The sequence below is a fragment of the Homo sapiens genome, chromosome 11 (genome assembly GCF_000001405.40).
Source record: "Homo sapiens chromosome 11, GRCh38.p14 Primary Assembly".
Taxonomy (NCBI): Eukaryota; Metazoa; Chordata; class Mammalia; order Primates; family Hominidae; genus Homo; species Homo sapiens.
The window spans coordinates 4,355,971-4,379,715 of record NC_000011.10 but is presented as its reverse complement, the minus strand read 5'-3'; the positions used below and the strand labels follow the sequence as shown (position 1 = coordinate 4,379,715).

The 23,745-nt window shown below is 36.5% G+C and overlaps 1 protein-coding gene and 1 pseudogene across 1 annotated transcript; one reads left to right on the top strand and one right to left on the bottom strand.

Annotated features, from left to right (window-relative positions):
- OR52B3P (olfactory receptor family 52 subfamily B member 3 pseudogene) lies at positions 492 to 1,434 on the bottom strand (annotated as a pseudogene).
- On the top strand, positions 11,330 to 12,453 carry OR52B4 (olfactory receptor family 52 subfamily B member 4). The gene has a single exon (NM_001005161.3). It carries the CDS (start codon positions 11,421 to 11,423, stop codon positions 12,363 to 12,365), a length of 945 nt encoding a protein of 314 aa, NP_001005161.2. The 5' UTR covers positions 11,330 to 11,420; the 3' UTR covers positions 12,366 to 12,453.
- The last annotated feature ends 11,292 nt before the right edge of the window (positions 12,454 to 23,745 follow it).

The following is a 23,745-nucleotide window of genomic DNA, read 5'->3' as shown; positions in this document are numbered from 1 at the left end:
AATATATCATTTGATTACATTACATTACATTAAGATAGAGTAATCTTAATGTAATCTTAATTACATGAAGATAGAGTCTATCTAAGTGTTTTAACTGTAATGCCCTAGTAAGTAAAGTTTTCTTATGGTTTAATTTGGTTATTTCTGTTTTGATAGTCCTTTTTCTGGCACCCTAAGGATGTGCCAGGAAGAGTCTCTAAGAGAATAAGTAACTTACCCAAGGTCAAACACACTGTTATAAAGGAAGCCAGGATTCAAACCTAATCCTGATCCAAAGCTTATGTTCTTCCCTAAACACTATACTTTTCAAGGTCACATGACAATCTGATTTTCAAAGTCATGATCAGTCACTTTATCCATAGTCAGTGGAATCTTAATTCGTAGGTCTCTGCAAAGTAGGCAAAAAAAAAAAAAAAAAAAAAAAAAAAAAAAAAAAAAAGCAAAGCCCTATAGTGATAAACATACTATCAGATTAGTCAAATCTAGCATCATTTCCTCTGTGAGGACAAAAGACTGAGCACACACTCTTGAATCTGCCTGGTGTTGATCCCATAAATGATGGGGTTCAGCATGGGAGGAGCCAACACGCAGACATTAGCCAGCAGAATGTGTGTATGGAGAGGAACATGGTGCCCAAACCGCTGGGTAATTATGGTAAAAATACCAGGCAAGTAGAACATGGAAATGACTCTGAGGTGGGAGCCACATGTGCCCAGAGCCTTTTGCCGAGCTCCTTGGGGAGGGGAGGTGGAAGCCTGTATACAGGATGAAGCTATAGGACACTAAGATAAGCAAGGCATCTAGCACTACAGTATAGAGAAGGACAGACAAGCCATACCAAACATTGACATGAATATCAGCACAAGCAAACTTGGCAACAGCCATGTGCTCACAGTAGGTATGTGGCAGCAGATTGCTATGGCAGAAAGGCAGCCGCTTTACCAGAAACACATCTGGCATGATCACACAGAAGCTTCTCAGGACCACAGCCAAGCCAATCTTTGTGATTTTTGCACGACTGAGCACTGTGGTATAGTGCAGTGGATCACAGATGGCCACATAGCGGTCAAGTGCCATCGCCAACAGAATTCCTGATTCCTCGATGAAGGTAGCATGGATAAAGAAGATTTGGGTAACACAGCCACCAAGGGATATTGCTCCAGCATAGAACCAAAATATGGCTAGGGCCTTGGGCACAGTGGTAGTAGACAGGATAAGGTCAGCCACAGCCAGCATGCAGAGGAAAAGGTACATGGGTTCGTGGAGGCTGCATTCAGTGATGATGATGAAGATGATGAGGCTGTTCCCAAGGAAAGCAACAAGGTAGGAAATAAAGAAGGGGAGAGACATCCATGTGTGCTGGTCTTCTAAGCCAGGAATGCTCAGCAGAATGAAGAGTGAGTGGCTGCTACCAGTGGAGTTGTGGGTTGTCATGCCCAGGGAAGGTCACCTGAGCATTGGTATGTAGGATTTGGCAGTTACCTCTTCTCTCTTCCCAAGAAGCTGAATGGGGTTGGAGTAGGGAAGGAGGGAACAGATTATTTTTCACTGGATGGAGCAGTGAAAAGGGTCCTGTTGAAGAAGTCAGGGGATGTGGTCTAAAATTCTTTGCCATTCTATTCATGAACTATGTGATCTCAATAAAATTACTTCCCTGTTCTGGATGTCTCTTTTATCACCTTAAAACTAAAGTTAGGGACAGAATGGATTACATTATTCGTAAAAGAGAAATTTTTGGCTCTAGAATTCCATAGATCTCAGTCTCAGGTTGTTGTAAATGCTTACAAGCTGCGAATAACAAGCACTTCAATTTCCACTTTGAACACCAGAATGTGATGTGAATCTCAAAAGGAAAGTGGCAACTGAGTTACCTATCAATTTAATACGCCTTACTGAGTACGTGCCAGGCATGGTTTCTTGAAGACCTACTTGGGACAGTCAGACAATCAAGCAACATGGCTACCTATCTAATATGCACACTGTAGAAGAAAAGCTAAGCACAGGGAGCTGTGGAAAGAGGAAGAACTCCCTAGGCATTCGGAAAAGACTTGCTAGAGTGCTGCCTTGAAGAATAAATAAGAGTTCGCCAAGTAAAGAAACATGATGAGGGAAGAACTTGAATGAAGTCATAGAGATCTGAAAAGACATAGGGTTTGGAGGAAAATTATAATGATGCAGGGTTAGTGCAAAGAGGACATGAGAGGGATAATAAAATTGTAGAAAATAATACAAGGGACTGAAGTAGGGGCCAAATCATTGAGAGATTTGAGTCCTACTCTAAGGGCTTTAGATTGATGTTGAAGTAGTGAGAGTCACTGAAGGATCTGTAGTGAGAGAATGGCATGGTAAATTTACATTTTAGGTAGCTTTCTCTCCGGCAGTATTGTGTAAGATGGATGGGGAACGGAGGAGACTGGAGAATGAGACAGGGATCATTTAGGAGGGGTACTGTGCTGCAGGCTTTATGTGCATTATTACAGTCACCGCAGCCTGAGATAACTGTTGTCATTTCCCCCGTTTTGCTGATAGGGGAGCACACAGAGCTCTGAGAATTTAAGTAGCACCCCTACCCAAGGTCGCTGGGCTAGCAAATGATGGAGCTGGAATTTGCCTTTCCAGACCAGGTTTTAATCACTTCATGTCTGCCCTATGCCACTCGATCCCATTCATCGGGTGATGGTGATTTCCTGACTGCTGGTTCAAGGAGAAAAACAAAGTCGGCAGTTATAAATTCCCTTAAATTCCACCGCCTTTACTCTGCCACCTACAAATTTATTTGTACTCAAGTTGTCCTTTTCCTCTTCCTCCTGCTGGAGGCTAAGCCCTCCATCTGTGCACTGACGCCCAACCCTTCTTTTTTTCTGAGTACCTCTCCCCATTAGTTGGTCTCTCTCCAGTAATTTTAACCTCTCCCTCTCTCTTTGTTCCTCGTTCTTACTGAGCAAATATGTTCGGGTGTCCTGTCTCCCCTTCACCTCAGTGTCACAAAAGGAAGGATGTGCTCTCTCTTCAGTAATCCTCTCACCTCCCTCTTGATCTTCACCCACTGCCATGGTACTGATAGCCCCAACATGCCACAAAAGTTTCTTTCTCTAAATAGTCATGATCTGTCACATGACTATTGCCCAATCTAATGTCACTTTTCATTTCTTATCATTCATAATCTTCAATTTCTGTTACTAATACTTCCTAGCTTTATAATAGCAACCATTAAATACCTACTGCATATCATATATAATTATTATTTCTAATCTTCACATCAAATCTGTGAAATTGAAATTATCACTAGTTTATTCACAAAGAAACTGACAGATAATTTGCCCAAAGTCAAACAACTTGTTAGTAGCTAGCAAAGCTCCCATCAGTATTTAAAACTTCCATTTTGTTATATTGATTACCTAAACCGCCTTTCTTGGGCTTCCACCCCACTCTGCTCCAATTCTCCTATTTATGCCACAACTTCTAAAACATGTAAGACAGTGAACATAGGAAAAATAAGAGCTTTCAAATCAGACCTACCTGGGTCAAATTCCAGCTCTGCCAGCTGAAAATACACACACACACACACACACACACACTCTTCCATTCAGGTGCATATTTCACACATGTTCATTCATACACTCACCATCCCACATATTCACTCTCACAAATTTTAATGAAGATTTACATACGGACATTTTTACAGTTTACACAAACAGCCCTTCACTCTGACACTTCACATACGCATGCTTTTAACATTTCCTGCATATATGTACCCTCACAAATTCACACATAGTCATTAACTAACCAAACTCACTCCCACACGGAGAATTTATGACTTATCTAAGTCATCTCATTTTGACTCCCTCTTACCCCTGCCTCCAGTCTTAAAATCCCTAGCCTATGCCAGAAGAGGGGACTGTCACAGAAACACAATTCACAGGACAACACCCCTGAGCTTCCCCAGTTTCACTCTTGAACCTCCTAACCTTGAGCGAGAGACATAAAATATATGGGCTGGGACTTAATTCCAGGGATCATCAAACTTCAGCCTATGGGCCAATTCCTGCCCATTACCTGCTTTTGTAAATAAAGTTTTATTGGAACACAACCATTCCCATTTGTTTACATATCATCTGTGAGAGCTCTTGTGGAGACCATTTCTGAAGCCTAAAGTATTTACTCTAGGCCTTTACCAAAAATGTTTCCCAACTCCTTCTTTAGAATAATCTTGTCACGTAACTAACTATAAGAGCCCCAGAAAAGAAGGCAATTTTCCCAAGGTTACAGAGGAAATGAGTTAAGGAAGTCTAGAAGCAAGCCTCTTGCCTCTCATTTCAATAGTATTTCCAGGAGGCCACAAATCTTCTGTGGTAACATGTTGGTCCACTCTCTCTGACTCTGTTCTCGGGATAGAGAATTCCAAATATGACCTCTATAGAGTGGCCAAATGATGAAGGCAATTCATCATTGTTTCTCATCAATAAACTCAATATTTCTCTCACCTCCTTTATCCCTACACTCAGTCAAACCCCACTGTTCGTGCCCATGGGTAGGGCCCACAGAAGCACCAGGCTATGCTGTCAGTGCCACCTTATACCTCTCCTCACCCCCAAAGAGCCCATCTCAGTCATCAGGAGTTGCCAACTGGAGCCATGCCCCTGTCTTGATCCCAGAGTGTCCCCACACCATAGACTGTGTGCAGTGACCAGCGGACCAAGCTGGAGGAGGAACTGCAGGACAAACTATTCTTTCTCTCAGCATCTTCAGGGAGCATAGTCCTATCCACGTGACTTTCTTCTCCCCTAGGAGTTCCTCTACTTCCAGTGACATCACTGTAAAGCTCTTAACTCTTTCACTGCATGGATGCTGGGAGCCCACCATGAAAAGCATGCTTGAGAGGCTCCATGAGTCCAGGAGAGAGGATTTGGTGAGAGAGTGGTTTCAGAGGGAGAAGGTCAGGGCAGATAGTGGGAATGTGATTAGAGACCTTCAGCAAGGCCCCAAAGCTCGTTCCATACCATCCTCTTCAACCCTGACTTCCAGAAGGCACAGAAACACTTTAGGAGCTGAAATCCTATAGATTTTCTCAAGCATTCATTTACTCATTCTCCACCAATTCGACCAATATGGGTTAAGTGCTAACTATATTGACAGCACCATAGTAGAATGCTAAACAAAATCAAGCCCATTTAAAATGTATTTATATCATTTTGTCTATGGAACTAATGCTTTGATTCTATAATGCATAGAACATCTTCACTGATAGCCTTCTAAGCTTCCCCCCATTTATTGATTTTTATGTTGTCTTATATTTAGCATGGTCTTTTATTTAATTTCATAATATAGAAATTTTTCATGGAAATAAATGTTCTATGACCCACATAGCTCCTTTATTCTTTCCCATTTCAAGAAGTTGTTCTTACTTTTTGAAATAAATTTTATTGTGTATGTCTAAGTTACACAACATGATGTTATGGAATAAGGATAGATAGTAAAATGGTTACTAAAGTGAAGCAAATTAACATATTTATTAGCTTACATAGTTACTGAATTTTTGCTAGTTTTTGTGGTAAGAGTAGCTAAAATCTACTTGTTTAGCAGAAATCTCAAATACAGTACACTTTTAGCACTACATAGCTTCATTAACACAGCTGCATTTGTCTCCAGTATAGCACAATGCCACGTACATAGTACTCTATACATATTTCTTGAGATAAAATGGGTGACTAAATATTTAACATGGGTGACATACCACAATATGTTTACATCCTTCCCTTATCGTTGAACATTTATATAGCTTCCATTATTCTCTATTAAAAATATTCTGTCATGAATATACTTATATATGAACTTTTGTAGGTGTTCTGGGTTATTCTAATTAAATATTTGATATTCACAAAAAGAAAATTGTTATGGCAACGTTTTCATTTTACGTTGTGTATGGTATTATTGATAGAAATTTTTTATATTTTAATAATTATTTATAAAGCTTTTTTGCAGAGAAATCAAAATTTTTTCAACTTGAAACCTACCCTGTGCCAGGCACACTGATATACAAGAGTGAAGACAGGTGCCGTTGTGGAATTTATGGTACAGAGTGAAAAAATAAATAAATAAAAATGAAAAAGCAAAGCTCCCTCATTAAGTATTTTTCTCCATTAGCACTTTGGTGCCATTTATTTAGAACCTATGGGAGCCCTTAATATTTTAAAGATGTACACCCATTTGGGGAGCATTTTTACTGCAAATGCAAAGCATTTTCCAGGCTTTGTTCTAGACTAATGCTCATTCACTTTCTTTTAGAAGCTGCTACTCCTTTGAAACTCATGTTACTTGCCTTCTCCTACTCCTAATGTTGTCTGTCTGTCTTCCAGATTCCGTCACAAATAAATGTAGGCAAAATATAAATTATTACAGTACAGCTATTATGGAAAACAGTATAGAGGTTTCTGAAAATTTTAAAATAGAGCTACCATATGATCCAATAATCTCACCACTGAGTGTATATTCAAAGGATAGAAAACTGATATTTCAAAAATATATCGGTATGCCCGTGTTTATTGCAGCATTATTCATAGTAGCCAAGATATCAAATCAACATAGGTGACCATCAGCATATGAAAGGATAGTGAAAATGTGGGATATGTACATAATGGAATACTATTTGGCCTTATAAAGGAAGGAAATCCTGTCATTGGCAACAACTTGGATGAACCCGGAGGCCATTATGTTAAGTGAAATAAGGCAGGCACCAAAAGTCAAATACGGCATGATCTCATTACACATAGAATCTAAAAATGTTGAACTCATAAAAGCAAAGAGTGTAATGGTAGTTACTAGAGACCGTGGGGTGGGAAAGACTGGAGAGATGTTGGTCAAAAGACACAAATTTTAGTTAGAGATAATAAGTACAAGAGATCTAGTGTACACCATGGTGTACAATAATTATGATATATTATATATTTGAAAAATGGGAATAGAGTAGATTTCAAGTGTTCTCACTGCAAAAAAAATTTATGTAAGCTAATGCATATATTAATAGCTTAATTCAGCCATTCCACAATGTATATGTATATCAAAGAATCATATTGTATAAAACTACTTGTCAATTTTAAAAATTAATTAGAAAAAGTATCAGCATAAACTACCTAGTATAAGGACGGTTACAACATGCTCTATGAATGAGCTAAGATGTCAGATGATTCTTGAGATCTAAGTACACATCACCAATCAGTCAAAGAAGGAGGAGATTCCTGGCAGAAAAATCAAGAATAAGGACTCAGAGGTAGAAGAGCAGAGAATGACAAAAGGAGGGTAAATGATGAATTATGTTCTGTATTTGAAGAACAGTTGTGAAACATGAAATGGGAAATATTGCTGGAAAGGTCACCTACAGCAAAATGCCTAACTGCCTTAGTTACCGCCCAAAGGTGAAAAAAAATTTTTTTTCAGATGGAGTTTTGCTCTTGTTGCCCAGGCTGGAGTGCAATGGCGCCATCTCGGCTCACTGTAACCTCTGCCTCCCAGGTTCAAGTGATTCTCCTGTCTCAGCCTCCCGAGTAGCTGGGATCACAGGTGCATGCCACCACGCCCGGCTAATTTTTGTATTTTTAGTAGAAACGGGTTTCATCATATTGGTCAGGCTGGTCTCGAACTCCTGACTTCAGGTGATCTGCCCGCTCGGCCTCCCAAAGTGCTGGGATTACAGGTGTAAGCCACTGAGCCCGGCTGGAAATTTTTAAGAAAGGCTTTTCTGCAACTGAACAATGGGATAGGCCCCAAATAGTATCTCCTGGCATCGTCCTACACCATTCAAACATTCCAAAGCTCTACCAGATGTCTCTAGCTGGAGAATCTCCAGGCGTTATGGTACCTAAGCACCTTAAAATTTACATCCAGCAACTGATGTCACATAATTCTATCATTCATAGTATCAGTTTATTTATTCAGTAATATTTTCAGTCAATAAATATTTATTGTGTTCCTATAGTATGCCAAGCAGAATTGAAGTGTACAATGCAAATAAGTAAACAAAGCAAAATCCTTGCCTTTATGGTTGTCAGCTGCTGTGCCTTAGTTGCCCTCAATGGCATCTCTCACCATATGGTCTCTTATTTATTTGTCTGTCATAAGCTATTTAAATGGCTGGTGGCCTAAAAGAGGGCAGAATGGAAGTTACAAGGCCTCTGAAAGCATATGCTCCAGAATTCATATGCATAACTTTGACCTTATTCTATTAGTCAAAGCAAGTCATAAGGCTATCCTAGATTCCAGGAGATGAGTATTAAACAACATGTCATGATGGAGGATTGGCACATGTGTTCAGCAGAGGGAGGAATTGTTAGTGGCCATTTTTGTGGATGCTCAACCACACTTCAACCAAACTATCAAACTGACAAATATTCGAAAGCTTGACAACATACCCTGCTGGTAAGGTCAGGAGGGAAAAGACATGCTCATGAATTGCTGGTGGCAATGAAAAACTGGCACAACCCTGATGGTGTTATATCTTTAATATCTAACAAATCTACAAATGCATTTATCTTTGACCAAGTAGTCCTTTCCTAATAATTAAATATGAGATGCATCAGTAGAATTACCCAACTAAAGAAGTAGGAAAAAAGAACAGAAAAATAAATGAATAGGGCACAGGTACTGGTGAAACAATATCAAAAGGTCTAAAAAAAGTTTGCTTTGGGTCCCAAAGTGAAATGTGAGAGAGAATGGGACAAAAAATTTTAAGAAATAATTACTAAAATTTTCCAAATTAGATAAAAATCATATATTTACAGATTCAAAAAGCTAAGCAAACATCAAGGAGGATAAAAACAAAGAAAGCTATGCCTTGGCACATCACAGTCAAACTGAAAATTAAGAAAAAGTAAAAACAAAAAAAAAACTAAACAGTCAAGACAAACAGTGAAATACAAATGTGTCCAAAATAATCACGACTCACATGTTTTCTACTAACCATTAAGCAGGCACACTTATATATCTTAGGCAACAGAGTTAAGCATCATTATTCATGACGGTGAAAGCTAAAACTTATGAAAGCCAGGGAGATCAGTATAACTTCAACATTATACTTTTCATGAAGAACATACCTTTATAAATCATCAACACATATTAATCATCAGACTTTATATGCCTATTAAAAAATTGGTTTAACATTTGTTTAAATAGGCTGTTGTAAGGCTAGATTAGGTGGGAAAGGATTTGTATCAGAGCATCTTGAGAAAAGCGAAAGAGAAAAGGAGCAGGAGGAAGGGAGGGAGGTGGGAAGTGGTTTTAGAGACTCAGCCCACTTGGGAAGAGGGCAAGGCTGGTGGAAATAGCTCTTTCCCTAGAGAGTGCGGCATAAGTGCTTCCCTCAAGGGTTCTTCTGAAAGAAGATAAACAGCCCAACTCCTGGCCCTCATCAGGCTGAATTTTATCACAGAGCTCGTTTCTGTTCCTGAAGTCTCAGTCTGAGGCCAGTGAGTGAATTAGACATCTATGGGTGGTACTGGCTTCAGAAATAAGGTTAGAACTAGGCTGGTGTTATATCATACAGGCCAGAGGTAAAAGGACTCTTAGAGACTGTTGAAATATGTGGTAAATATATATATATACCAGAGGCACAAGTCTCCACTTATGGCGGAAGTGAAAGATGAGGATCTGAGAAGGGAGGGTGAGAGAACGTGGGCTAGATGGAATTTACTGAAGGGAAGAAAAGAGAAGCAATCCAGTAACTAGTAGGCACCCTAAGAGTTAGACCAGAGATGAGAAAACATAAAATATATTGATGTAGGCTGCAAACAACTCTTGGCATAATATGAAAGGAGCCCTGAAAATGGCAGGGAACTGAGTCACCTGCCCCAAGCCACACATTGGAAGGAGCTTTGTGGAGGCAGCCAGGGCATCCTAGCAGGTGTGAAAAATAACTAAGAGCCAATTATCCTCCCCAGAAAGAAGAGGATGCACCAAGAGTGTGAACTAGAATGGAAGAAAAAATATTACTGATCATAAGATATATCTTAGCCAACAACTAAATATTTTAAGATATTCCTTTATTTAATATCCTCAGAAACCCCATGAAGAGTGTATTTTATTATTTGTTGCCATTTCTTCATTCCATTGAAAATGGGATTCAATATGGCTGTCTTCTCAGAAGGCACTCTCTGAAGCCATTCCACATGGAACATTTAGTAAATCTATTTACTCACAAGCCCACCATTCTCTGAAACCATAAAGCTATTTAGGACTCAGGCACATAGCATGATGCAGGAAAAAATAGTCAATGCTCAAAATATGCCTGTGAATGAATCCACTAATGAGTGAAGAAGAATATTCTAGGAAGTAAATGATGAAGTTACATGTTCATTTCTACCAGCAGAAGAATTTCTCAAATATCAAGAACTGCAACCCCTCTTCATCCCCCAGAAATAACTCTTTACCTAATTTCAGTCACTTCTAAGCCTAGTTCCCTGGGGTGTGAGCACAAAGAGTGCCTCATCTCAGATAAAGAGGTACCTTGACCCTCTTCATAAGTGAGCAAACTGTATGTGGTGAAGTCAGAGGTTTCAAATCTCATTTCTATCAATTGCTGCTTTGTGACAAGTGGCAAGTTATTCACATTGTCTAAGACTCACTTTCCTTAAGTGTGAAATAGGGGTACTATCCAGTTCTAAGAGTGGATGTCTACTCCCTGCATTAAGAACGTACAAAGTGCAAACTACAGCCCGTGGCATAAAGTGATGCTTAATAAACATTAGCTAAATTCTCCTGCGACTGTAATACAATAAGATTTTGTCCACTCCTGGAACACCACTGGCCTTTTAGGCTTTAGTGTCTTCAATCAATCAACGTTCCAACAAATATCAACAGATCATCTTTCTAAACTAATGACTGCCCCTGTGTAAAGGATGGGGCCTAAGAGTGAAGTTGTGATCGAAGCCCTTCACATTCAGGAAAAACCTGCCTATACCATCACCTCCCTTGTTCTCCTCAGTACTCCTTATGCACCAGCCACCCTGGCCTGAAAATATTTCAGAAACATACTGTGCATTGATCTGTACACTCACCTTTTCTTATGCTACTTTCTTTCTCTCTTCATTATTAACTTTACGATAAACTACTCAATTTTAAGTATCACCTTATTCAGCTTTCCCACACAGAAATAATAATTTCCTCTGTATATTCATAATCCTCCATTCATAATTAAAGCGCATACAATAATGTCTCTTATTCTGATTACTTGGAGATATTGTCTGGCTGTCATTCATTAGAGTATAGACCACCACCTTTCATATTTGCATGTTTGTTATTTACATGTTCAAAGAAGACGAAGATTATGGAATATGCCATAAGCTCCTGGTGACATCGCAAAGAATGTTGCAGATTTTATCTTCTTCTACCTCTGTGAGTAGGAGGTGAGGTTCTGAAAGTTCTCCCCAGCTATGCCTACTGTAAACCACAGTGGCACTAGCCACACAGTCTTCCACTTGCTGGGCATCCCTGGCCTACAGGACCAGCACATGTGGATTTCTATCCCATTCTTCATTTCCTATGTCACCGCCCTTCTTGGGAACAGCCTGCTCATCTTCATTATCCTCACAAAGCGCAGCCTCCATGAACCCATGTACCTCTTCCTCTGCATGCTGGCTGGAGCAGACATTGTCCTCTCCACGTGCACCATTCCTCAGGCCTTAGCTATCTTCTGGTTCCGTGCTGGGGACATCTCCCTGGATCGTTGCATCACTCAGCTCTTCTTCATCCATTCCACCTTCATCTCTGAGTCAGGGATCTTGCTGGTGATGGCCTTTGACCACTATATTGCCATATGCTACCCACTGAGGTACACCACCATTCTTACAAATGCTCTGATCAAGAAAATTTGTGTGACTGTCTCTCTGAGAAGTTATGGTACAATTTTCCCTATCATATTTCTTTTAAAAAGATTGACTTTCTGCCAGAATAATATTATTCCACACACCTTTTGTGAACACATTGGCCTAGCCAAATATGCATGTAATGACATTCGAATAAACATTTGGTATGGGTTTTCCATTCTAATGTCGACGGTGGTCTTAGATGTTGTACTAATTTTTATTTCCTATATGCTGATTCTCCATGCTGTCTTCCACATGCCTTCTCCAGATGCTTGCCACAAAGCTCTCAACACATTTGGCTCCCATGTCTGCATCATCATCCTCTTTTATGGGTCTGGCATCTTCACAATCCTTACCCAGAGGTTTGGACGCCACATTCCACCTTGTATCCACATCCCGTTGGCTAATGTCTGCATTCTGGCTCCACCTATGCTGAATCCCATTATTTATGGGATCAAAACCAAGCAAATCCAGGAACAGGTGGTTCAGTTTTTGTTTATAAAACAGAAATAACTTTGGTTTAAGAACTGAGTTTTCAGAATCTCTAGCTATCTGGTAAGTGGGTATGAAAGTGGTAGATGGGAGAGGTCAGCTGATACCGTAGGAAATAACTCAGTGAGTACGATGTCTGGAGCAAGGTCAACTGGGAAGTTACAGGGCTTATTCTTCCATTTTTTAAACAACCTAGGAAAGCAATGCAATGTTTGACTGAACAAACTACCTCCTGCACAGAGCCTGAGAGAGAATAGATTGATTTTTCAGAAGTCATGTATCCTTAACAGGACAACACTATCATAATCTTCGGAAATAAAGTGGGAACAGTGCTCTGGCATTGGAATTTGTTCAGCCATCCTGTACTGAGTTTCTGAAGCTCTGAGACACGTTGTATTCATGTAAAGTCACGTACAAACCTCCATTCTTTTATGTCCTTCATTCTAGCTAAGTGACATTCTTAGAATCAGTGATTCCTAGGTTTTCCATTTATTTCTATTATGTTATAATTTATATCCTATGAACATGAATGTCTATAATAGAGGATTGCAAATAAATTATGTGATTCATATTTTGCAGAACAACCCTTGAGGAACCTGAGTCTGATCATTTTTGTGTTGGGAAATGACATATGGTTTCTGAAGGTGTGGTGTGTGCTGGGGAAATTCTGAAGAAAGGGAACTCCTTCATTCTCAGTGTCAGGCTGTGTTCTTCAATGATCTCCTCCTCAGGAGGACATTCAAGATGTCTATTCACGTGAATTCTGCGTGCTTTTACAACCACACTTCCCAATACCTTCTATGCAACCTGAGCTTTAGATACACCAGGCCATTAATTTGTCCGTTTTCTCAGGTTATACCATACTCTTCGGGTACTCTGCCTTCTCTTGAGATAACCTCCATCAACTTGTGGAAAACTCTTATTCCTCCTTTCATATCTAATTCTCATGTCATCTCCTCTGTGACATTTTCTCCAATCACAATTCCTTCTCAGTGTATTATAGTTGATACTTTTTTATGAGAAAAAAGGCATATTGCTCATATTTTCAACACTTATTTTATTAAAAGCCTATGTTACTTCTGGGAAGCATTAGAAATTATGAAAAAACAAACTTGAAATGGAGCTCATAAAACTATAATCTTAGAGCTCTCAAGCAATTTTACTGTTAAAATTTGTTATACATAGCTATACATCTTTGTTTATAAATTTACATATCTATACATCTGTATCTATATCTGAATCTGTATTTGTATTTATTTTCATCTGTATCAATTCCTATATCTATTTGCTAAATATTATAATATGATAAGTATGTAGAATAGTGACTATACTATAGTTGTAGTCTATAACCTAATTTTTCCCTTTTATAAATTTTAAAAATTTTTTTATTGAAAAATAAAATTATATTTATCAGTACATGTTTTAAAATATGTATACATTGTGGAATGGGTAAATTGAGCTAATTAACATATACGTTACCTCATTTGTTGTGGTAAGAAAATTTAAAACCTGCATTCTTAGCAATTTTCAAGAATGAGATGCATCTATTTTAACTATAATCACCATGTTGTACAATAGATCTCTTGAACTTAGTTCTCTTATCTAACTGAACTTTTGTGTCCTGTGACCAACATCTCTCCATCCTCTACTCCTTACCCCACCCCAGGGTCCAAGCCACAATTCTACTCTACTTCTATGTGTTCAACATGTGAGTAAGATAATGGGGTATTTGTCTTTCTGTGCCTGGCTTACTTCATTTAACATTATGTCCTCTAAGTTCATCCATGTTATTGCAAATGACAGAATTTCTTTCTTTTATAAGACTGAATAGTATTCTATTATGTGTATATACTACATTTTCTATATCCATTCATCCATCGATAGACACTTATTTTGAGTCCATATCTGGGATATTGTGGATAGTGCTGCAATGAACATGAGAATGAATATGTCTTCAACATACTGATTTCATATATTTGGATATATACACAGTAGTGAGATTGCTGGATCATAGCTAGTTCTATTTTTAATTTTTTTATGACTGTCCATACTGTTTTCCATAATAGTTATACTATCTAACATTCCCACCAACAATGTGCAAGGGTTCCCCTTCTCCCCATTCTCTCCAACACTTTTTATCTTTTGTCTTTTCGTTAATAGTCATTCTAACATGTATGAGGTGATATCTCATTGTGGTTTTAATTTGCATTTCCCTGATGATTAATTTTGTTGACCTTTTTCTTTTCTTCATTTACCTATGGGCCATTTGTATGTCTTATTTGAGAATTGCCTATTTAGGTACTTTGCCCATTTTTTAAGAAGTTTATTCCCTACTATTGGGTTGTTGGAATTATTTATCTATTTTGGCTATTAACCCCTTATCAGATAAAGGTTTGCAAATATTTTCTCCCATTCCATAGATTGCCTTTTTCTTCTGTTTTTTCCTGCCTATGCAGAAGTTTTTGTAGTTTTAAATAATTCTGCCAATTTTCATTTTTGTTGCCTATGCTTTTGGATTCTTATTCAAAAAATTATTGCCCAGACCAATGTCATGAAGCTTTTCCCCCATTTTCTACTAGCTGTTTTAGAGTTTCTAGTCTTACAGTTAAGCCTTTAATCCATTTTGATGTAATTTTTGTATGTAGAGTGAGATAAGGATCTAATTTTATTCTTTTGTTTGTGGATATTGAGTTATCCCAATACCATTTATTAAAGAGACTGATTGTCCCCCTTGTCTGTTCTTGCCACCTTTGGCAAAAGTCAATTGACAGTAAATGTGTGGAATTATACCTAGGCTCTTTAGTCTGCTCCATTGGTCTTTGTGTCCTTTTGTTAATGTTAGTACCTTGCTGTTTTAATTACTATAGCTTTATAATATATTTTGTAGTATATTTTGAAGTCAGGTATTATTATACCTCCAGTTTTGGTTTTTGTATTTTATTTTTCATGTTTTACTTGAGAGTGCTTTGGCTATTCAAGGTCTTATATGGTTCCATAATAATTTTAAGGTTGTGTTTTCTACTTCTGTGAAGAATGTCATTGGTATTTTGATAGGGACTACACTGAATCTGTAGATTGCTTTGGGTAGTGTGGATGTTTTAACAATATTAATTCTTCCAATCCATGAACAGAGGCTATCTTCCCATTTATTTGTGTCTTCTTCAGTTTCCTTCATCAATGTTTTACAGTTTTCAGTGTACAGGTTTTTACTTCCTTGGCTAAATATATTCCTAAGTAACTTATTCTTATTAATGCTATCATAAACGAAATTGTGTTCTTGATTTCTTTTTTAGATAGTTTCTTGTTAGTGTATAGAAAAGCTACTAATTTTATGTGTTAATTTTATATCTTGCTAATTTACTGAATTTTTATCAGTGCTAACAGTTTTTTGGTGGAGTCTATAAAGTTTTCTTCATATACAATCATGTCATCTGAAAACCAGGGACAATTTAACTGCTTCCTTTTTGATCTAGAAACCTTTTATTTCTTTCTCCTGCTGAATTGCTCTGGCTAGGACTTCCAGTACTATGCTGACTAGAAGTGGTCAGAGTGCGCATTTTTATTATGTTCCTGACCTTTGAGGAAAAGCTTTAAACTTTTCCTCACTGAGTATGATGTTAGCTGAGGGTATGTCTTATATGGCCTTTATTGTGTTGAGGTGCATTCCTTCTATATGGAATTTGTTGAGAACATTTTTCATGGAAAGAAACGTTGAATTTTGTTAAATACTTTCTCCATCTATTGAGATGACCATATGATTTCTATTCGTCATTCTGTTAATATGGTATATCACATGTGTATGTGGAAACATCTTTACCCTATGGATAAATCTCACTTGATCTTGATGAATGATAATTTTTATATGCTGTGGAATTCAGTTTACTAGTATTGTTGAGGATTTTTGCATCTATGTTTATATTTGTTGAGGATGTTTGCGTGTAATATTTTTGAGACAGTATCTCACTCTGCTGCCCAGGCTGGAATGCAGTGGTGTGATCACGGCTCACTTCAGCCTCAACTCCTGGGCTCCAGCAATCCTCTTACCTCAGCCTCCCAAGTAGCTGGGATTACAGGCATGCACCACCTTGTCTAGCTACCTTTTTCTATTTTTTGTAGAAACACGGTCTCACTATGTTGCCTAGGTTGGTCTCAAACTGCGGGGCTCAAGTGGTCCTCCTGCCTCAGCCTCTCAATGTACCGGGATTATAGGTGTGAGCCACTGCTCTCAGAGTAATTTTCTTTTATTGTATGGTCCTTGTCTGTCTTTCATATCAGAGTAGTCCTACCCTCATGAAATGAGTTTGGAATTTTGCCCTCTTCTTCAGTTTTTTGAAAGAGTTTGAGAAGGACTGGTTTTCTTTCTTCTTTAAGTGTTTTGTAGAATTCATGAGTGAAACCATCAAGTCCTGGACTTTTCTTTTAAACAGCTTTAAAGATATAATTTACATATCATACAATTCATCCATTTAAAGTGTATCATCCAGCCTAAATGCCCATCAACCAACAAGTGGATAAAGAAATGTAGTATATACACCATGGAATACTACTCAGCTATAAAAAGAAATGAAATAATGGCATTTGCAGCAACCTGGATGGAGTTGGAGACCATTGTTCTAAGTGAAGTAACTCAAGAGTGGAAAATTAAATATTGTATGTTCTCACTTACAAGTGGGAGCTAAGCTAGGAGGATGCAAAGGTATGAGAATTATATAATGGACTTTGGGGATGTGGGAGGAAGGGTGGGAGGAGGTGAATGATTAAAGACTACACATTGGGTATAGTATACGCAGCTCTGGTAACCAGTGCCCCAAAATCTCAGAAATCACCACTGCAGAACTTATCTATGTAACCAAAAACCATCTGTTCCCCAAAAACTATTGAAATGTAATAAAAAAGAGAAATAACAAAAATAAATAAAGTCTATAATCCAGTGGTCTTAGTATGTTCACAGAGTTACACAACCATCACCACAATCAATTTTAGAACAGTTTCATCACATAAAAAACTTCATAACCATTAGCAGTCATTCTTCCTTTTCCTCCCCGCTCCCACCTATTGTCTTCCCCTCTTCCCCTAGCCCCAGGCAATTACTTATCTACTTTCTAACTCTATATAATTGCCTATTCTGGACACATGTTTAATATATTATATACATTTCTCCTATATAACTGTAATTACATATCCTTTGACCACCATCTCCCTATCCCTACCTCTCCCTTAACCATCCACACCTCTGGTAACCAACATTCTACTCCCTACTTCTGTGAGATCAAGTTTTTTCTCACTCACATATGAGTGAGATCATCCAACATTTGTCATTTTATGCCTTATCTATTTAACTTAATGTTCTCCAGGTTCAAACATGTTGCAACTAACAGGATTGTGTTCTTTTTGATGGCTGAATAGTATTCCATTGTGTATATATACCACATTTTCTTTATCCATTTTTATCTGTAGATGGGACACTTAGGGTGATTCCATATCTTGGCCTTTGTGCATAGTGCTGCAATAAACCTGGAAGCACAGATATCTCTTTGATATACTGATTTTATTTCCTTTGGATGTATACTCAATAGTGGTGTTACTGAATCATATGATAATTCTATTTTTAATATTTTAAGGACCCTATAGAGTGTTTTCCATAATGTCTGTACTAATTAACCTTCCCACCAACAGTGTGTAAGAGTTCATTTTTCTCCACATCCTTACTATTTGTTCTTTTGTCTTTTTGATAATAGCCCTTAAGATAGGTGCAAAGTGATATCTCATTGTGGTTTTGATTTATATTTCCCTGATCATCAGTGATGTTTAACATTTTTTAATACACCTATTGACCTATTGGCCATTTGTATGTCTTCTTTTGAGAAATGTTTACTCAGGTGTTTTGCCCTTTTTAAAATAGTGTTGTTTGTTTTCTTGTCATTAAGTTGTTTGGATTCCCTATAAATTTTAGATATTAATGCCATATCAGTTGTATAGACTGCAAAGATTTTCTCCCACTTTACAGGTTGTGTTTGCACTTTGTGGATTGTTTTCTCTGCTGTGCAGAATCTTTTTCTTTGAATGTAATCTCATTTGTCTATTTTGCTTTTTGTCATCTTTGATTTTGAGGTCATATCCAAAAAAAAATCCTTACCCACACCAATCTCTGAAGCCTTTCCCCTATATTTTCTTCTAGTAGTTTCATGGTTTCTGGTCTTATGTTTAGGTCTTTAATCTTCTTTGACCTTTTTATACATAAGGTGAGATAAGGGTCTAATTTCATTGTGCATGTGACTATCTACTTCTTCCTATCCTACTTACTGAAGAGACTCCTTTTCCCAATATGTGTTCTTGGTGACTTACTCGATCGAAAATCTATTGTCTCTAAGTGCTTGGAATTATTTCTAGGCTCTCTATTTCTGTTTCATTGGTCAATGTATCTGTTTTTATGCTAGTGCCATGATGTTTTGGTTACTATAGCTTTATTGCATATTTTGCAGCCCCGTAATATGATGTCTTCAACTTTGTTCTTTGTGGTGAAAATTACTTTGGTTATTTGGGGGTTTGTGTGGTTTTATAGGTCTTTTAGGATTGTTTTTCCTATTTCTATAAAAAAGTGTCATTAGTATTTTGATAGTGATTGCATTGAATCTGTATATAGTTTTGAGTAGTATGAATGTTTTAGCAATATTTATTTTTCCAATTTATTCATATGTAATATTCATTTCTTTGTGTCTTCTTCAATTTCTTTAATCAGTTTTTTTGTCATCATAGAGATATTTCACCTTCTTGGTTAAATTTATGTCTGGGTATTTTATTTTATTTTTGCAGCTATTGTAAATGGGATAGTTTTCTTGATTTCTTTTTCAGATAGTTTGCTATTAACATATAAAAAGACTACTAATATTTTTGTTGATTTTTTATCCTTCCACTTTACTGAATTTGCATACTAGTTCTAATAGTTATTGGTGGAGCCTTTAGAGTTTTCTACGTATAAGATGATGTTATTCGCAAACAGGGAAAAATTAACTTCTTCCTTTCCAGTGTGGATGCCTTCTATTTCTTTCTCTTGCCTAATTGCTCTGGCTAGGACTTCCATACTATGTTGAATACAAGTAGTGAAATTAGGCATCCTTGTCTTGTTGCCGATTTCAGTGAAAAAGCTTTCAACTTTTCCCCACTGAGTATAATGTTAGCTGAGGGTTTGTCATATATGACCTTTATTGTGTTGAGATGCATTCCTTCTACACCTAATTTGTTCAGAGTTTTTATCATGAAGAGTGTTGAATTTTGTCAAACACTTTTTCAGCATCTATTAAAATGATTATATTTTTCCTTCATTCTGTTAATTTAATGTATCACATTTATTGATATTCATATTTTGAACCATCCTTGCATTTCTAGGATGTATCTCACTTGATCATGGTGAACAATCTTTTCCACAGACTGTTGAAATCAGTTTGATAGCATTTTATTGAGGATTACTGTATCTATGTTCCTCAGGGATATTGGTCTGTAGTTTTTCTTCTTTTGTTTTTGGGACCTTGTCTGGTTTTGGTGCCTGGGTACAGCCGACCTTGTAGAATTAGTTGGGAATAATTCCCTCCTCTTTAGTTTTTTGGAATATTTTGTGAAGAATTGGTAGTAAATCTTCTGTAAATATTTGACAAAATTAAGCTGTGCGGTACTGAGCTTTTTTTGATGGCTTCCTTTTATTATTGATTCAATCTCCTTGCACATTATTGGTCTGTTCAGGTTTCCATTTATTCATAATGCAATTTTGGTAGCTCCTATGTTTCCAGGAATTTATCTATTTCTTCTCGATTTTCCAATTATTTGGTGTATAATTGTTCATAATAGTCTTCAGATCCTCTATGATTTCTGCGATATCAGTTGTAACGTCTCCTTTTTCATCTCTCATTTTATTTATTTGAGTTTTCTCTCTTTTTCTTAGTCTAATTACCGGTTTGTCAATTTTGTTTATCTTTTCAACAAATCAACTCTTCTTTTTATGTCTCTCTTCTATTGTTTGTCTTTAAACAATATAAAGTAGTCTAGTTTTATAGGTAAAATAGGAGTACTAATTTTGCATTTGCTCTTGTTTTTCTATTTTCTTGAGGTAAAATGGTAGGTTGTATATTGGTGCTGTTTCTTCTTTTGTTTTTATTTTTAATTTTTGTGGATAAATAATCGGTGTATATATTTATGGGGTGCATTATATGTTTTGATACAGGCATGTAATGCATAATAATCACATCATGGAGAACGAGGTATACATCTCAAGCGTTTATCTTTTGTGTTACCAACAATTCACTTTTACTCTTTTAGTTGTTTCAAATGTACAATCAAATTATTGTCAACTGTAATCATCCTTTTGTGCTATCAAAGAGTAGGTCTTATTCATTCTACTTTTTGTATCCATTAACCAACCCCACCTCCTCCCCAACCCCCAATACACTTCCCAGCCTCTGGTAACCATCCTTCTACTCTCTATGTCCATGAGCTCAGTTGTTTTGATTTTTAGATCCAGCATAAATGAGAATATGCAATGTTTGTCTTTCTTTGCAAGCTTTATTTCAGTTAACATAGTGATCTCCAGTTATATTCATGTTGTCACAAACAACAGGATCTCATTCTTTGCATGGCTGAATATTACTACTGAATATTAGAATAATAGTAATCCATTGTGTACATTACCAGATTTTCTTTATTCATTCATCTGTTGATGGACACTTGGGTTGCTTCCAAATCTTGGCTACTGTGAATAGTGCTGCAATAAACATAGGAGTGCAGATATCTCTTCCATATGCTGGTTTCCTTTCTTTTGGGTGTATACCCAGCAGTAGGATTGCTGGATCCCATGGTAGCTCCCTTTTCAGTATTTTGAGGAACCTCCAAACTGTTCTCCATAGTGGTTATACTAGTTTGCATTCCCACCAACAGTGTACAAGAGATTGCTTCTCTTCACATCCTCACCAGCATTTGTTATTGCCTGTCTCTTGGATAAAAGCCATTTTAACTGGGGTGAGGTGGTATCTCATTGTAGTTTTAATTTGCATTTCTCTGACGAGCAACGCTATTGCTTTCATAGGAGGCACCTTTTCATAAGCCCATTTGCCATTTGTATGTCTTCTTTTGAGAAATGTCTATTCAAACTTTTGCCTATTTTTTAATCGGATTTTTAGACTTTTTTCCTATAGCATTGTCTGAACTCCTTGTATACTCTGGCTATGAACCCCTTTTCAGATAGGTACTTTGTAAATATTTGCTACCATTCTGTGGGTTGTCTCTTCACTTAGTTGAATGTTTCTTTTGCTGTGCAGAAGTTTTTTAACTTGATGTGATCCTATTTGTCCATTTTGGCTGTGGTTGCCTGTGCTTGTGGGGTATTGCTCAAGAAATTTTTGCCCAGACCATTGCCTGGGAGAGTTTCCCCAATGTTTTCTTGTAGTACTTTCTTAGCTTGAAGTATTAGACTTAACGCTTTAGTCCATTTTGATTTGATTTTTGTATATGGTGAGAGATTCAGTGATACAGCCTAGTTTCTTTTTTTTTTGCATGTGGATATCTAGTTTCCCTAGCACCATCTGTTAAAGAGACTGCCTTTTCCCCAGTGTATGTTCCTGGCACCTTTGTCAAAAATGAGTTTACTGTAGGTGTGTGGATTTGTTTCTGTGTTCTTCATTCTGTTCCATTGGTCTATGTGTCTGTTTTCATGACAATACCATGCTGTTTGGGTTACTATAGCTCTGTAGTATGATTTGAAGTCAGGTAATGTGGCTCTCCCAGTTTCGTTCATTTTGCTTAGGATGGCTTTGGCTATTCTGGGTCTTTTGTGGTTCCGTATACATTTTAGGATTTTTTTTATTTGTGTGAAGAATGCCATTGATATTTTGATAGTGATTGCATTGAATCTGTAGGTTGCTTCGGGTAGTATGGACATTTTAACAATATTGGCTCTTCCAATCCATGAACGTGGAATATCTTTCCATTTTTTTTGGTATCCTCTTCAATTTCTTTCATCAGTTATTTGTTTCTTTCCCCTGCCACTTTCAGAATCTTTATTTTTGAACTTTGACAGTGTGATTATAATTCATATTGGGGTAATCTTACTTGGATTTAATATGACATAGATTATGTATATTAAATACATTTTTACTTTAAATATCTTCAACTTATGATTACTTTATTGGGATGTAACCTCATCATACATCAAGGAACATTCATATGATAAAGCAAGTAGAGTTAAAATTTAATGAAAGAATCTTGGTGGTTGACTATATAATTGGTCATAATTTTTTTTTAATTTTCTGTATATTTGAAACTTTGTATAATAAAATAATAAAAAATTTATTTACTTGAATAAATCATGGTGACTCTTTAAGAATAGCCAATACAGAATAATGGAAATAAAATGATTATAAAGGTTACCAATTCTTGATGTTCTTAGATATCCATTGTTAATAAATTTTAATGTATACTGTTATATGTTTTTCGTGTGTATGAGCATTTGTGTGTGTGAATGTTTGTTGTTTCCCTAGTATCTATTGCATCTACTATCATTACTAACATAATAGTTACTAAATCAAGAAAATAATTTTTCATTTTAAAAAGCAAAAGTATGAAATTCTCATTGTAGACTATTTGGAAAATAAATGTACAAAGGATTTCCTTTTTTACTCTTGTGTTTATGGTACATTCTGTTTATCTCCTACTTGAACTTTTAAATGCATTTGGAAATCAAACATTTTTATTTCAATAATTTATACCCTATTATTTTACACATATTTCTAACAAGTATTTATCATACTTGAAACATATTTCAACTAGCTGCAAATTACAACAATTTAGTTACCAGTGTAACTTTTTCATATTTAACATCTACTGTATTTCACATTTTACAGTTTGCCCAAAAAGTAATCTTTTTTACAAGAATTTCCTTATTTTATCTGTTCTTTAATTCTAGTTATATAGGAGGACCTACATTTTATGTAGTCAAGTCACCAAACATTTTCTCTGGGTGTTTCCCTTCTCTTTTTAACTTCAGGAATTGTTCTGATTCTAATATAAGTCTATTACTTACTCTGTCTTTATTCCATTTATTTTAGATTTTAAATTGATATATGTAATATTTCAACAATATGTTATTTAAAAATATAATGTAATAATATTATAATTACCAACAATTACACTCATAAAAATAATTATTAATATTGAAAACATGTCATTATTTAATCATATTTTCATGTATTTCTATGTTGTATAATGATTAGTATATTATTACTTAACGTTACATGACAAGAATTTCCTTTGGTACAAAATGAACTTCACATATTTATTTAACTTTATTTAATACTGCCTAACAGATTTTCACATAAACAATATATTACAAAATATATCATTTTAGCCAACCTATAGA

Excerpts from the sequence above, each read along its gene's own strand:
- OR52B4 (NM_001005161.3), top strand. The coding sequence starts at position 11,421 with ATGCCTACTGTAAACCACAGTGGCACTAGCCACACAGTCTTCCACTTG.